At 51.3% G+C, this 16,315-nt stretch overlaps 1 non-coding gene across 1 annotated transcript; it reads left to right on the forward strand.

The window, feature by feature from the left end:
• Positions 1-3,098: 3,098 nt before the first annotated feature.
• Positions 3,099-3,206, forward strand: LOC124905159 (small nucleolar RNA U13). The gene has a single exon (XR_007068166.1). It is a non-coding gene; the product is annotated as a small nucleolar RNA U13 (small nucleolar RNA).
• Positions 3,207-16,315: the final 13,109 nt, after the last annotated feature.

Raw genomic sequence — 16,315 nt, forward strand, 5'->3', positions numbered from 1 at the left:
GGCAGGAAATAGCCACAGCCTCAGCTCCACACCAAATGGCAAGGGACCAGATGTCCCCATAAACCCACTGGGAAGCCCGGCAGCCGTCCTGAAGGGCTGGAGGCTAATGGAGGTTTCCGGTACACGAAAGGGCCAGGATTTAACTGTGAGTCACCCTTGTCATCCCGGCGTCCCACAGTACTTTACGAGGGGACTTGACTTTGATGGAGCTTCCGCCACGAGCAAACATGATGAACGGCAAACCTTTAATGCTCGCAACAACACCTTGAAGTACTTATTGCTCTCCCCTTGTTATAGGAGGAAACTGAGGCTCAGAGAAGGACATGACTTACCCAAGGTCAATAATTTAGTGACTCACATCCGAGCAGGTCTGACTCTAGAGCCCAAATCCCCTCCCTACCTAGGGTGCCTCCCTAAAAGTCACGAAGCCTTTTTTTTTTTTGCTGAGCACTTACTGTGGGCTGGACCCTGGAACAAACATTTTCACTCACAAGCTCCTTTAATTCCCAGAACAGCCTGATGAGGGAGGTAGCACAGTTGTCCCCGGTAGGGGGCCGGGACTCAGCAGCACAATGAGGTGACGGCCAGGTCAGTTGGTCTCACAGCCCAGGTGGCCTCCTGAGCTGACCCAGGTCTTCTCATTGGAGGCTGCCTGGGGACCAGGTGCCTTGGTTCCCCCTGCTTGTGGTAGGCATTGGGGGAGGTCTGGGTGTACCTTGGTGAGGCTGACTTGAATGAGCCTCATGTGGAGGCCACATGAGGAGGCCTCAATGTGGAGCCACTTCCACACTGCTGCCTCAGTTTCCTAGTAAAGCAGGGCAACAGCTTATTCCCAAAGGGCCCAGAAAGGCTAGATCCCCCTGCAAAGGGCAGGAGGCGTTTCGGGGTGCCTGTGTGATTGGCTGGCCCTTGCCCTGTCACCACCCCGCAGCTCCACCTTCATCGCCTGCGTCCCGGGGACTGCCAACCGCGCTTTCTTTCCAGAGCCCCTGAGCTCTTGCATGGGCTGCTCCCAGCCCCTCCCTAGCTCTGGCCATCCTGGCCCCAGTTGGTCTCCCCGCCATGAGCTCCCTTGTGGCTTCTCAAGGCCAAGACTCAACCAGGCCGGCGGAGTGGGAGGAACCTGCTTCTTCAAGTTGGTCACCTGGCTTGGCCATCCACTGGCCCTGGGACCTTGACTGTGGCATTTCCAGAGCCACATCCCAGATGCTCCCATGTGGCTGTGTCCACTCTCGGGTGGGGCAGCTGACTGCACTGGCCAAATGTGTCTGAAAGGTGACAGATGGTGGACTTGCCCCACCAGCAGTGTGACATGGATGCACTGATGTGGGGGTGGGAGGCGCTACAGGGAGAACTTCACAGGGGCCTGGCTGGCCCTGACCCTTTGGACTCCAGCAGATTCTCACCATCTCCTGAGGAAGACAGGTTTATAGGTGTCCCTGGCCCCCACCCCAGGGTGTCCCCACAACCCAACTCCAATCTCATGCAGTCTCTCCCCTCTTCACTCATTCAGTTGCTGAAAGTCTGTGTCATCTACTAGCTGTGACCTCAACTGTGGCATCTCCAGAGCCACATTCCAGCTGCTCCCACGTGGCTGTGTCCTCACTCAAGAGCAGGACAGCTGGCTGCACTGGCCAAGTGTGTCTGAAAGTTGACAGGAACATTCATTCCAGCATTAGAAGGAAGTGGGCCAGGTGTGGTGGCTCACACCTGTAATCCCAGTACTTTGGGAGGCCGAGACGGGGGATCACCTGATGTCAGGAGTTTGAGACGAGCCTGGCCAACATGGTGAAACCCCGTCTCTACTAAAAATACAAAAATTAGCCAGGCGTGGTGGCAAGTAGTGCCTGTAATCCCAGCTACTTGGGAGGCTGAGGCACGAAAATCGCTTGAACCCGGGAAGCAGAGGTTGCAGTGAGCCTAGATCATGCCATTGAACTCCGGCCTGGGTGACAAGAGCAAAACTCTGTATCAAAAAAAAAAAAAAAAAAAGGAAACTGTGTCCTGTGCAGATTTGCATCTGTGTTTATTCATGCTTAAACCTCTCCAGAAGGATTTGCACACATACATTTGTGCACACACACCCCCAGGGTGAGGGAACCCAGTGTGAAGGGGCCCTGGACACACAAGACCCTGGGAATAGTGGTTGCCTCCTCGGGGAGGGAGCCAGAAGGCCAGGGGACAGGGGTGGTGGGACACATTTCAGTGTTAAATGCTTTCATATGTTCTGCACTATTTCCCATGTGCATGTGATATTTATTCCAAAATAAAGTTTTAAAAAATACTAAAATAGTCCTGAACGGAGCATGGTAGGGGAGTGGCAGGGCTGGCACCAAACTCAGGGCTCACTGGCTGGCTCTGCCACACACCTGCTTCAATCAATGATCTTCCCTGGAAATTCACTTCCTCACCTGAGATGAGATGAAGAAATGGGATTAAGTGAGGCCCTGAGCGTGGCCAGGCCCACTGAGTCTGAGTAGCAGCTGTTATTCCTGTTAATATCCTGGTCAAGCCTGTTCCAGGCACCTGAGTGACACAGACATGAAGGGACACGCCCTGTCCCTGCGCTCACCCTGCAAGGGCAAGGGGAGAGACAGCAACACCAGGGAGAGCTGATGCAACTGACCCGGTGCAACTAACTCGGCCAGAGGAGCCAGGGAAGGCTGCACAGGACAGGTGACGCCTGCACCGAGGCTTCAAAGATAAATAGGTGTAATCGGGGGACCAAAGGAGAGAGGGTGCTCCAGGCTGGGGAAGCAGAGCCTGCCAAGACTGTAAAAAACTCATGCTGGGCACACCCACGTCCACAGCATGTAAACAGAGCCATATATGCACTCATGAACACCTGTGCTCACAGCTGCCCCATTCTATACACTCCTGCTCACATACACAGCCCATGTGCATGCCTGTATATGCCCCCCATGTGCACAGCAGACCGCCTGCCAGTTACCTGTGTGACCCACTTATGTCTCTCAACCTCTCTGGGCCTCAGTTCGCTCACCTCTTACATGTGGAAAATGACAGGGACATGGTGAGTGTTATATGAGACAGTACCTGTGGAGCACTAAGGGCAATGTCCAGTAAATGTTCGCTGTATGATCCTTTTGTCGTTCATAAGCATGACGATTGGGCTTTCATGCTCATGCATGAGATGGGCCTCCCTTCAGTCTTGTTACAGGCCGGCTCTGTGGCTCATGCCTGTAATCCCAGCACTTTGGGAGTCCAAGGTGGGAGGATTGCTTGAGGCCAGGAGTTCAAGACCAGCCTGGGCAACACCGTGAGATCTCATTTGTAGAAAATGTTTGTTTGTTTGTTTGTTTGTTTTTAATTAGATGGGTGCAGTGGTGTAGCTGTGGTCTCAGCTACTAGAAAGGCTGAGGTGAGGCCAGGCGCGGTGGCTCACGCCTGTAATCCCAGCACTTTGGGAGGCCAAGGTGGGCGAATGACAAGGTCAGGAGTTTGAGACCAGCCTGGCCAACATGGTGAAACCCCACCTCTACTAAAAATACAAAAAATTAGCCGTGCGTGGTGGTGGGCACGTGTAATCCCAGCTACTAGGGAAGCTGAGGCAGGAGAATCACTTGAACTCAGGTATAGTGTCTCACGCCTGTAATCCCAGCACTTTGGGATGCTGAGGTGGGCGGGTCGCTTGAGCCCAGGAGTTTGAGACCAGCCTGGGCAACATGGCAAAACCCAGTCTCTACAAAAAAAAATTACAGTCCCAGTCCCAGTCCCTCTCCCTCTCCCTCTCGGCCTCCCTCTCCCTCTCGGCCTCCCTCTCCCTCTCGGTCTCCCTCTCCCTCTCGGTCTCCCTCTCCCTCTCTTTCCACGGTCTCCCTCTGATGCCGAGCCAAAGCTGGACGGTACTGCTGCCATCTCGGCTCACTGCAACCTCCCTGCCTGATTCTCCTGCCTCAGCCTGCCGAGTGCCTGCGATTGCAGGCGCGCGCCGCCACGCCTGACTGGTTTTCGTATTTTTTTGGTGGAGACGGGGTTTCGCTGTGTTGGCCGGGCTGGTCTCCAGCTCCTAACCGCGAGTGATCCGCCAGCCTCGGCCTCCCGAGGTGCCGGGATTGCAGACGGAGTCTCGTTCACTCAGTGCTCAATGGTGCCCAGGCTGGAGTGCAGTGGCGTGATCTCGGCTCTCTACAACCTCCAACTCCCAGCCGCCTGCCTTGGCCTCCCAAAGTGCCGAGAGTGCAGCCTCTGCCTGGCCGCCCATCGTCTGGGACGTGAGGAGCCCCTCTGCCTGGCTGCCCAGTCTGGAAAGTAAGGAGCGTCTCTGCCTGGCCGCCATCCCATCTGGGAAGTGAGGAGCGCCTCTTCCCGGCCGCCATCCCATCTAGGAAGTGAGGAGCGTCTCTGCCCGGCCGCCCATCGTCTGCGATGTGGGGAGCGCCTCTGCCCCAACGCCCCGTCTGGGATGTGAGGAGCGCCTCTGCCCGGCCACGACCCCGTCTGGGAGGTGAGGAGCGTCTCTGCCCAGCCGCCCCATCTGAGAAGTGAGGAGACCCTCCGCCCGGCAGCCGCCCCGTCCGGGAGGGAGGTGGGGGGGTCAGCCCCCCGCCCGGCCAGCCGCCCCGTCCGGGAGGTGAGGGGCGCCTCTGCCCAGCCGCCCCTACTGGGAAGTGAGGAGCCCCTCTGCCCGGCCAGCACCCCGTCTGGGAGGTGTACCCAACAGCTCATTGAGAACGGGCCATGATGACAATGGCGGTTTTGTGGAATAGAAAGGGGGGAAAGGTGGGGAAAAGATTGAGAAATCGGATGGTTGCTGTGTCTGTGTAGAAAGAAGTAGACAGGGGAGACTTTTCATTTTGTTCTGTACTAAGAAAAATTCTTCTGCCTTGGGATCCTGTTGATCTGTGACCTTACCCCAAACCCTGTGCTCTCTGAAACATGTGCTGTGTCCACTCAGGGTTAAATGGATTAAGGGCGGTGCAAGATGTGCTTTGTTAAACAGATGCTTGAAGGCAGCATGCTCGTTAAGAGTCATCACCACTCCCTAATCTCAAGTACCCAGGGACACAAACACTGCAGAAGGCCAAAGGGTCCTCTGTCTAGGAAAACCAGAGACCCTTGTTCACATGTTTATCTGCTGACCTTCCCTCCACTATTGTCCTATGACCCTGCCAAATCCCCCTCTGCGAGAAACACCCAAGAATGATCAATTAAAAAAAAAATTACAAAAATTAGCCAGGCATGGTGGCTTGTAGTCCCAGCTACTCGGGAGGCTGAGGTGGGAGGATCACCTGAATCGGGAGGTTGAGGCTGTGGCGAGCTATGACTGCACCACTGCACTCCAGCCTGGGAGACACAGTGAGACCCTGTCTCAAAAAAAGAAAAAAAGTTTTTGGCCTGCCGGGTGTGGTGGCTCACACCTGTAATCCCAGCACTTTGGGAGGCTGAGGCGGGCGGATCACCTGCGAGACCACTCTGGCCAACATAGTGAAACCCCATCTCTACTAAAAATACAAAAAATTAGCTGGGCATGGTGGCGGTGGCGGGCGCCTGTAGTCCCAGCTACTCGGGAGGCTGAGGCAGGAGAATCGCTTGAACCCGGGAGGCAGAGGTTGCAGTGAGCCGAGATCGTGCCATTGCACTCCAGCCTGGGCAACAAGAGCAAAATGCCATCTCAAAGAAAAAAAAAAAAGAGCTTTTGGTCTTTCAAACAAACTACATTAAGAAGAGATTCCTACATTTTAAAAACTTAGGGCTCCGAGGTCAGGAGATCGAGACCATCCTGGCTAACACGGTGAAACCCCGTCTCTACTAAAAATACAAAAAAAAATTAGCCTGGCGTGATGGCGGGTGCCTGTAGTCCCAGCTACTTGGGAGGCTGAGGGAGGAGAATGGCGTGAACTCGGGAACAGAGGTTGCGGTGAGCCGAGATCACGCCACTGCACTCCAGCCTGGGCGACAGAGCGAGACTCTGTCTCAAAAAAAAAAAAAAAAAAAAAAAGTAGAGCTGAAGCCTAGGCAATATAGTGAGACCCTGTCTCCACAAAAAAAAAAAAAAAAAAAAAAAAAAAAAAATAGAAAAAATTAGCTGGGTATGGTGGCAGGCCTGTGGTTCCACGTACTGGGGAGGCTGAGGTGGGAGGACTGTTTGAGCCTGGGAAGTTGAAGCTGCAGTGAGTCGTGATTGTGCCACTGCACTCCAGCCTGGGCAACACAGAGAGACCTTGTTTCAAAACAAACAAACAAAGGAACAAACAAACGAACTTAAGACTGGACACAGTGGCTGCTGCCTATAATCCCAATACTTTGGGTAGCTGAGACAGGAGGATTGCTCGAGCCAGAAGTTCAAGGTTACACTGAGCACGTGAACGTTACATGCACCACCGCATTCCAGCCTGGGCAATAGAGCGAGACCCTGTCTCAAAAATATTATTAATAAATTAAAAATAGGCCAGGCGCGGTGGCTCACACCTGTAATCCCAGCACTTTGGGAGGCCGAGGTGGGTGGATCACCTGAGGTCAGGAGTTCAAGACCAGCCTGGCCAACAGGGTGAAACCCCATCTCTACTAAAAATACAAAAAAAATCAACTGGGCATGGTGGCGGGCGCCTATAATCCCAGCTACTTGGGAGGCTGAGTCAGGAGAATCACTTGAAGCCAGGAGGTGGAAGTTGCAGTGAGCCGAGATGGTGCCACTGCACTCCAGCCTGGGCAACAAGAGTCAAACTTGGCCGGGCGTGGTGGCTTACGCCTGTAATCCCAGCACTTTGGGAGGCCGAGGCAGGTGGATCATGAGGTCAGGAGATCGAGACCATCCTGGCTAACAGGGTGAAACCCTGTCTCTACTAAAAATACAAAAAATTAGCTGGGCATGGTGGCGGGCACCTGTAGTCCCAGCTACTCAGGAAACTGAGGCAGGAGAATGGCGTGAACCCGGGAGGTGGAGCTTGCACGGAGCCGAGATCGCACCACTGCACTCTAGCCTGGGCGACAGAGCGAAACTCTGTCTCAAAAAAAAAAAAAAAGAGTGAAACTCCGTCTCAAAAAAATAATTAATTACAAATAAATTTTTAAAAATTAAACAGTAAAAACTCAAGTAAAGTCACGTGGAACTGCCAATCAAAGCTTTGGATCAGTGGAAGAAAATCCATTGCTCCCACACTGAATGGATATAAAGCTTAGCCAAAAACAAAGATACTTAACATGGTCATGAACCTCTGCTGCCTTGTTTTGGGTAAACACGTCATTTCTGTCCAGGTGTCTGAAATACCAAGGATGATACAGCTAATACTTAACTGCTAATACTAAAACAGCTAATACTTAAACTGCACTTACTTTGTGTCAGGAATTCCATTTTTTTGTTTTTTTTGAGACGGAGATCTGTCTCCCAGGCTGGAATGCAGTGGCGCGATCTCGGCTCATTGCAACCTCCGCCTCCCGGGTTCAAGTGATTCTCCTGCCTCAGCCTCCCGAGTACCTGGGATTACAGGCACGTGCCACCATGCCCGGCTGATTTTTGTATTTTTAGTAAAGACAGGATTTCACCATGTTGGCCAGGCTGGTCTCGAACTCCTGACCACAGGTGATATACCCCCCACTCATCCTCCCAAAGTGCCAAGACTACAAGCATGAGCCACTATGCCCGGCCTGTGTCAGGAACTTCTAAGTGAGATATATAATGATATATAACTCATATGATATCTATCATTTGCTACATACAGAGTATGTACACACGTATGTATTTATAACATACATATCCATTTAGTCCTCAAGAAAACTCTATCAGGCAAATGCCATTATTATCGCCAATTACTATAATGCCCAGGGGAGGAAACTGAGGCACAGAAGGGTCATTATTATTTTTGCCAAGACCCTCATACTTATGACTTGGAAGGGCTGGGATTTGAAACCATACAACCTGGACCTCCAGTACTTGGGCCTCACCACTATGCTAGACTTTGGGACTTCTAGCAGATAGAAGAAGTCCATCCAAACCTTCAGTTTACAGGATCACCCACATGGCCCAGAGAGGATTAGCAAATGCCCTCAGGTCACACAGCAGATTTGGGTGCTTCTCCTACCAGCCCACATTGCCTCCTAAGGTATGTTTAACATCTTTAATGTCTATGGGGGAAGGGCCCTAAACGTTTCTGAAGAAACCCACTCCTCCCTGCAAGCAGCGCTGTGTGCTCCACCCCCAGCCAGCACCAAAGCATATGTGAATACCTGCAGGGACTGATGCCAGCTGCATTTGGGCCCCAGTTGGGCATGGCCCTCACCAGAGAGCAGTCCCTGTTGTCCCTGGTGCTTGTCACAGCACCAGTTAGTGCATTGAGAGTATGGTTCATGGAGGAGAAAATATTTTCCCAGCCGGGCATGGTGGCTCCCACCTGTAATCCCAGCACTTTGGGAGGCCAAGGCAGGTGGATCACTTGAGGTCAGGAATTCAAGACCAGCCTGGCCAACACAGTGAAACCGCATCTCTACAAAAATACAAAAATACAAAAATTATCCGAGCATGATGGCAGGTGAAACCCCCGTCTCTACGAAAAATACAAAAAATTAGCCAGGCGTGGTGGCGCGTGCCTGTAAGTCCTAACTACTCGGCAGGCAAAGGTGGGAGAATCTCCTGAGCCAGGGAGATAGAGGCTGCAGTGAGCCAAGCCACTGCACTCCAGTCTGGGCAACTGGAGTGAGAGAGACCCTGTCTCAAAAAAAAAAAAAAAAAAAAGTAATACACATGGCCAGCCGCAGTGGCTCACGCCTGTAATCCCAGCACTTTGGGAGGCCGAGGCTGGCAGATCACCTGAGGTCAGGAGTTCAACACCAGCCTGGCCAACATGGTGAAACCCCTCTCTACTAAAAATACAAAAATTAGCCAGGCGTGGTGGCAAGTAGTGCCTGTAATCCCAGCTACTTGGGAGGCTGAGGCACGAGAATCACTTGAACCAGGAGGCGGAGGTTGCAGTGAGCCGAGATCGTGCCACTGCACTCCAGCCTGGGCGACAGAGTGAGACGCAGTCTCAAAAAAAAAAAAAAAAAAAGACACGCTTATTGTTTATAAACTAAAACAGTATAGAAGTGTATAAACTAGGCTGGGCGCGGTGGCTCACGCTTGTAATCTCAGCACTTTGGGAGGCCGAGGCAGGCGGATCACGAGGTCAGGAGATCGAGACCACGGTGAAACCCTGTCTCTACTAAAAATACAAAAAATTAGCCGGGCGTGGTGGTGGGCGCCTGTAGTCCCAGCTACTCGGAGAGGTTGAGGCAGGAGAACGGCGTGAACCCGGGAGGCGGAGCTTGCAGTGAGCCGAGATTGCGCCACTGCACTCCAGCCTGGGCGACAGAGTAAGACTCTGTCTCAAAAAAAAAAACAAAAAAAAAACCAAACAAACAAACAAAAAGAAGTGTATAAAGTAAAAAATAACAGTGCACTGTGACCCAAATCCATTTCTCAGAGAAAATCATTACTATGAACATGGAGTGTCCACACATGTACACGCACTCACGGGCCACTTCACCAGCTTGGAGAACAACCCTAGCCACAGTGCTTGCGGTTGCTTTTTTAACCAATCTCTCCTGCATCCTCATTCATTTATTGTTAAGAAGCCCAGCATCTCCCTCTTGAGGTCTCTTCCAGAATAGTCTGGGAATCCCAAGGACTCACTCTGTCCAAAGAAGGCCAGTCCTACTCTGCAAGGCCTAGTGGTGCACTGCGTGGGCCCCGAGGCAGTCCTCTCAGTTCACTCCAGGAGCTCAGCTCCCTGAAAGGAAAATGATGCCAAGCCAGGCGCAGTGGCTCACACCTTTAATCTTAGCAATTTGGGAGGCTGAGGCAGGTGGATCACTTGAGGTCAGAAGTTCAAGACCAGCCTGGCCAATATGGTGAAACCCCATCTCTACTAAAAATACAAAACTTAGGCCGGGCACAGTGGCTCACACCTGTAATCCCAGCACTTTGGGAGGCCGACGTGGGCGGATCACCTGAGGTCGGGAGTTCAAGACCAGCCTGACCAACATGGTGAAACCCCATCTCTACTAAAAATACAAAAATTAGCCAGGCGTGGTGGTGCATGCCTGTAATCCCAGCTACTTGGGAGGCTGAGGCAGGAGAATCGCTTGAACCTGGGAGGCAGAGGTTGCAGTGAGCCGCGATCGAGATTGCGCCATTGCACTCCAGCCTGGATGACAGATCCAGACTCTATCTCAAAAAAAAAAAAAAAAAAAAAAAAAGAAGAGGAAAGAAAGAAAAAGGAAATGACGCCAGAGTGGGCAGGTCCAACAGGACTTTCAGCCCAAACCACACATGGCACCTGTGTCCCTCACCAATGCCTGGCCTCTGGCACTGAGCTTGGGTCACCTGTCCACATCTACTTCCCATGGAGTGAGTTATTTCCTTTGAGGCATGAGTGTCCTCTCTGCCAGCTGGACAGGACTGTCCTGATGGGTCAGATAGCAGCTAATCCTATCAGGAGAGAGGAACTGGGGCCCAATCTCATTTCTCTTGGCGGTCCCCAGACTAGCCACAAATTTGCCCACCTCCTGCCAGGTTAAGAGAAAGGCAGTTTTGAGAGTTGATTAAGAGCATGGAGTTTCCTGTAATCCCAGAACTTTGGGAGGCCAAGCTGGGAGGACCACTTGAGGCCAGGAGTTCAAGACCAGCCTGGGCAATATAGTGAGGCCCCATCTCTACAGAAATTTTAAAAATTAGCTGAACGTGGTGATGCGCACCTGTGGTCCCAGCTACTTGGGAGGCTGAAGCAGGAGGATCACTTGAGCCCAGGAGTTCAAGGTTGCAGTGAGCCATGATTTGTGTTTCAGCCTTAGTGACAGAGTGACACCCTGTGTCACAAACAAATAAACAACAACAACAACAAAAGGCCAGGCTTGGTGGTTCACACTTGTAATCTCAGCACTTTGGGAGATAGAGGCGGGTGGATCACCTGAGGTGAGGAGTTCGGAACCAGCCTGGCCAATATGGTGAAACCCCGTCTCTACTAAAAATACAAAAATTAGCTGGGCGTGGTGGTGGGTGCCTGTAATCCCAGCTACTTGGGAGGCTGAGACAGGAGGATCACTTGAACGTGGGAAGTGGAGGTTGCAGTGGGCTGAGACTGCACCATTGTACTCCAGCCTGGGCAACAAGAGCGAAACTCCGTCTCCAAAAAAAAAAAAACAAAACAAAAAAAAGAGCATGGAATTGGACTGCTTTAGGTAAGTTCCTTCCCCACCTGTCAAATGAAGTGATAACAACAGCAAAAGACCGAATGTTAATACCTACGGATAGATCACTTAGCACAGTGTGGGCAGATAGTAACTGCTCAATAAATGGGAACTACTGTTACATACCTGTATGTAGTTCTCTAATATCCCTATTTTATAAAAATGAGGTCCCCCCATATTTTTCTTAGCTTCCTTTTGTCAATTAATATATCATAGACATTTTTCCAGGTCTGCACATGTAGCCTCCTCTATGTGAGAGCCGCATGGCCTTCCAAAGGACGCCGTCCATGCAAGAGGCTAAACTATGTCTGTGGGTTCAAAACCCTCAGTCTGTGCCATGGTGCTTTAAAACTTGGAAATGGCTCATACCTGTAATCCCAACACTTTGGGAGGCCAAGGTGGGAGGATCGCTTGAGCCCAAGAGTTTGAGACAAACCTGGGCAACATGTGAAACACTGTCTCTACAGAAAATACCAAAATTAGTATTTTTGGTGTGGTGGCATGTGCCTGTAGTCCCAGCTATTTGGGAGGCTGAGGTAAGAGGATCGATTGAGCCCTGGAGTTCAAAGCTGCAATAGCCATAATTGCACTCCAGCCTGGGCTACAGAGAAGACCTGTCTTAAGAAACACAAACAGGCTGGGCGCGGTGGCTCACGCCTGTAATCCCAGCACTTTGGGAGGCCCAGGCGAGGGGATCACGAGGTCAGTAGATCGAGACCATCTTGCACTCCAGCCTGGGAGACAGCGAGACTCCATCTCAGAAAAAAAAAAAAAAAGAAAAAGAAACACAAACAAAAACAAACTTGGAAATTAGTTAAGGTTTAGTTCAGTTAGATCAGTTAAAGTTTAACTGTTAAACTGTCACCTGCATTTTTATTTCTTTGTCTGGAAATGTGTGTTTGTCTTTCTGTTCATTTGACTTCTAACCCACATGGGATGGGTTTTCCTAACTTGGGAGAAGCAGGTGAGAGGTCAGCCTCCACAGGGTGAGGCTGTCAAGGAGGAGGGGGGAACCAGGACAGCCAGTGGCCAGGGCAGGACAAAAGAAGGCCGGCCATCTTTGTTTTGTTTTGTTTTGTTTTGTTTTGTTTTGTTTTGTTTTGTTACGAGGCAGAGTCTTGCTGTGCCTCACCCAGGCTGGAGTGCAATAATGAGATCACAGCTCATTGCAGCCTCCATCTCCCGGGTTCAAGTGATTCTCCTATCTCAGTTTCCCGAGTAGCTGGGGCTACAGGCGTGCGTGTGCCATCACACCTGGCTAATTTTGTATTTTTAAAAATTATTTTATTTTATTTTATTTTATTTTATTTTGAAACGGAGTCTCGCTCTGTCACCCAGTCTGGAGTTCAGTGGCACGATCTCGGCTCAGTGCAAGCTCCGCCTCCCGGGTTCATGCCATTCTCCTGCCTCAGCCTCCTGAGTAGCTGGGACTATAACCGCCTGCCACGACGCCCAGCTAATTGTTTTGTATTTTTAGTAGAGACGGGGTTTCACCTTGTTAGCCAGGATGGTCTCGATCTACTGACCTCGTGATCCACCCGTCTTAGCCTCCCAAAGTGCTGGGATTACAGGCGTGAGCCACCGCGCCCGGCCTATTTTGTATATTTTTAGTAGAGATGGGGTTTCACCATGTCTGCTGGGCTGGTCTCGAACTCCTGACCTCAGGTGATCGTCTACCTTGGTCTCCCAAAGTGCTGGGATTACAGGCGTGAGCCACTGTGCCCGCCTTTTTTTTTTTCTTCTTTTTGTTGTTGTTGGTTTTATTTATTTATTTGGACAGAGTCTCACTCTGTTGTCTGGGCTGGAGTGCAGTGGTGCAATCTCAGCTCACTGTAACCTCTGCCTCCCAGGTTCAAACGATTCTCCTGCCTCAGCTTCCAGGGTAGCTGGGATTACAGGCGCCCACCACCACACCCAGCTTATTTTTGTGTTTTTGGTAGAGACAGGGTTTCACCATATTGACCAAGCTGGTCTCAAACTCCTGATCTCAAGTGATCTGCCCACCTCGGCCTCCCAAAGTGCTGGGATTACAGGCGTGAGCCACCGTGCCGGGCCATGCGCCATCTTTGTTTCTGTTCCAGATGCCTGGGAGTCCTTCCATCTCTTCCCTCACCCCCCACAGCCAACCCTTTAGCAAGGACTTTTCCTCAATATTTCTCATATCTGCCTCTTCCTTCCACCCCCACGGCCACCACTTTAATTCAGAACTTGGATCACTGAGATGGCCCCTAATGGTTTCACTGCCTTCTTCTGCCCTTCCCTAGTCCATTGTCCATATGGCAACCCGGGGCAGGTGCAGTTTGGAAAGGAGGTGGCACTACCTGGTAATGCTGAAGCTGTGTATACTTCTAGCTCCTTCCCCTTTGCACCAGGGCACTTGCAGTAGGAAAGTCACAGCGACATTGTCTGCAAAGCAAGAAACTGGAAATGTCCAGGCACAGCAGCTCACGCCTATAATCGCAGCACTCTGGGAGGCCAAGGTGGGTGGATCACTTGAGCCCAGGAGTTTGAGACCAGCCTGGGCAACATAGTGAGACGCCCATCTCTATAAAAAAAGAAGAAAGTGGAAACAACTCAAATCTCCATCAACAACAGTGGATTCTTTTCCTGTTGCTGCTCTAACCAGTTACCCCAAACTCAGCGGCTGAAACACACACATTTATTATCTTACAGAGCTGGAGGTCAGGAGTCCAAAATGATTTTACTGAACTAAAATCAACAAGTCAGCAGGTATGCATTTCTTCTGCAGGCTCTAAGGGAGAATCTGGTTTTTGCCTTTTTTTCTGGCTTTCAGAAGCTGCCTGCTTTCCTGGGTTCATGGGTCCTTCCATCCTAACGTCAGCAGTAGTGGGCAGGCCTTTCTCAGGACACTGTCTCTGATTCTGACTCTTCTGCCTCCCTCTCTCCCATTTAAGGATCCTTGGCCGGGCACGGTGGCTCACGCCTGTAATCCCAGCAGTTTGGGAGGCTGAGGCAGGCAGATCACCTGAGGTCAGGAGTTCGAGACCAGCCTGACCAACATGGAGAAACCCCGTCTCTTCTAAAAATATAAAATTAGTCAGACGTGGTGGCGCATGCCTGTAATCCCAGCTACTCGGGAGGCTGAGGCAGGGGAATAGCTTGAACCCAGGAGATGGAGGTTGCAGTGAGCTGAAATTGTGCCATTGCACTCCAGCCTGGGCAACAAGAGCAAAACTCCGTCTCAAAAAAAAAAAAAAAATTCCTTGTGATTCCACTGGGCCCACCAGGATAATCCAGGATCATCTCCCATCTCCAGGCCGGGTGATTAGCAACCTTTGTTCTCCCTTGCCGTTAAAGGAACATTTTTGAAAGTTTCAGAGATTAGGATGTGGTCATATTTACAGGCCATTTTTCTGCCTCCCCACACAGTTACCCACACAGTTACCCATCGCATAATAGGGCTGGGGCTGGGGGATGTGAGCAGAATCCCTCCATACCCAACATATAACCACGCGAGGCCCCCAGCTGAGGGCCCGGTGTGTTGGGCAGAGAGCTGAAGGCAGGGGAACACTGTCCAGTCGCTGCACAGCAGTGTGAGGAAAGGAAGAGGAGTCGTCTGTAAAAACCCATTGACTGTGCTCATTTCACACTGCGTGCCTCTATCAAAACATCTCTAGCCAGGCGCGGTGGCTCATGCCTGTAATCCCAGCATTTTGCAAGGGTGAGGCAAGCAGACCACCTGAGGTCAGGAGTTCGAGACCAGTCTGGCCAACATGGCAAAACCCCGTCTCTACTAAAAATCCTAAAATTAGCCAGGGCCTGGTGGCGCGTGCCTGTAATCCCAGCTGCTCAGGAGGCTGAGGCAGGAGAATCGCTTGACCCGGGAGGCAGAGGTTGCAGTGAGCCGAGATCATGCCACTGCCCTCTAGCCTGGGCAACAGAGCAAGACTCCATCTCAAAAACAAAACAAAACAAAACAAAATCTCATGTATCCCATACATATATACATCTATTATATACCCACAAAAATTAAAATTAAAAAAAAGAAAAAAACAAAAAATCCCCATTGACTGTACTCTCTGTTATATTCCTGGGGCCCTCAAATGTTGATTACTTTTCAGTTTTGAGAATCTAAGTGACACCTAGCCTGGACAGGAGGAGGGGAGAGCCCCTGTTTCTGGCAGGTTTCTAAGAGGAATCACAGGACTGGGCTGAGAGGAGGGGACCCAGCACCCAGGCTAGAGCAGCCACCCCTCCATCCCTGAGTGAGGGGCCATCTGCTGCCCCCCGCCTCTCCCTCGCCCCCACCCCCGCCTCTATCTCAAGCCTTGCTCCTTTCCCCTCGGGTGCCTCCACCTGCCGTTTGCCCCGTCCTCACAGAGTGTGAATCTTGACTCAAAGTGTGGACGTCAAAGCCCCTTGGAAGTGGGAAAGGCCCAGGCGGGTGCAGATTGTTTATTTGCTTGCTGGGTGCTGGGTGTGAAAGGAACAGACACGTGCTTGCCTCGTGGGGCTCAGTCTCTAGTGGGGAAGATGGGCACTGCTGTCATTGTAAAGTGTGATTTTGTGAAAAGTGCTAAGAAGGAAAGGACAGGGGCTATGAGAGGGGGTTGTGGAGTCCTAATTAGGAAGGAGGAGTTGAACTGGTGAGATTGAGGGAAAGCAAAAAGCGAAAGCAGGTAAGCTCTAAGTGTGCCTTTCTTCATGCTCCAGAACACATGCCCTCCTGCACAAATAATTCACAATCTTCCTGCAACCAGCCATCACCAGACGCTCAGCTGACAGAAAATTGCAAATTAGCTCACTGCAACCTCGGCACTATCAGTACTGCGTAAAGCCCTCTCCAGCATACAGCACGAGCACCATCCTGTCCCGTCCCTAGCAAGCCTCTGTCTCCTTGCAGACAGCCCCTTCTCTGCTGTGCTGCCTGTTGCAAATTTGCAACGCATTTTCTTTTTCTTTTTTTCTTTCTTTTTTTGTTTTTTGAGACGGAGTCTCGCTCTGTCGCCCAGGCTGGAGTGCAGTGGCGCGATCTCGCCTCACTGCAAGCTCCGCCTCCCGGGTTCACGCCATTCTCTTGCCTCAGCCTCCCAAGTAGCTGGGACTACAGGTACGTGCCACCACTCCCGGCTAATTTTTTTGTATTTTTAATAGAGATGGGGTTTCACTGTGT

The sequence above is a fragment of the Homo sapiens genome, chromosome 22 (genome assembly GCF_000001405.40).
Source record: "Homo sapiens chromosome 22, GRCh38.p14 Primary Assembly".
In the NCBI taxonomy this organism is placed as follows: domain Eukaryota; kingdom Metazoa; phylum Chordata; class Mammalia; order Primates; family Hominidae; genus Homo; species Homo sapiens.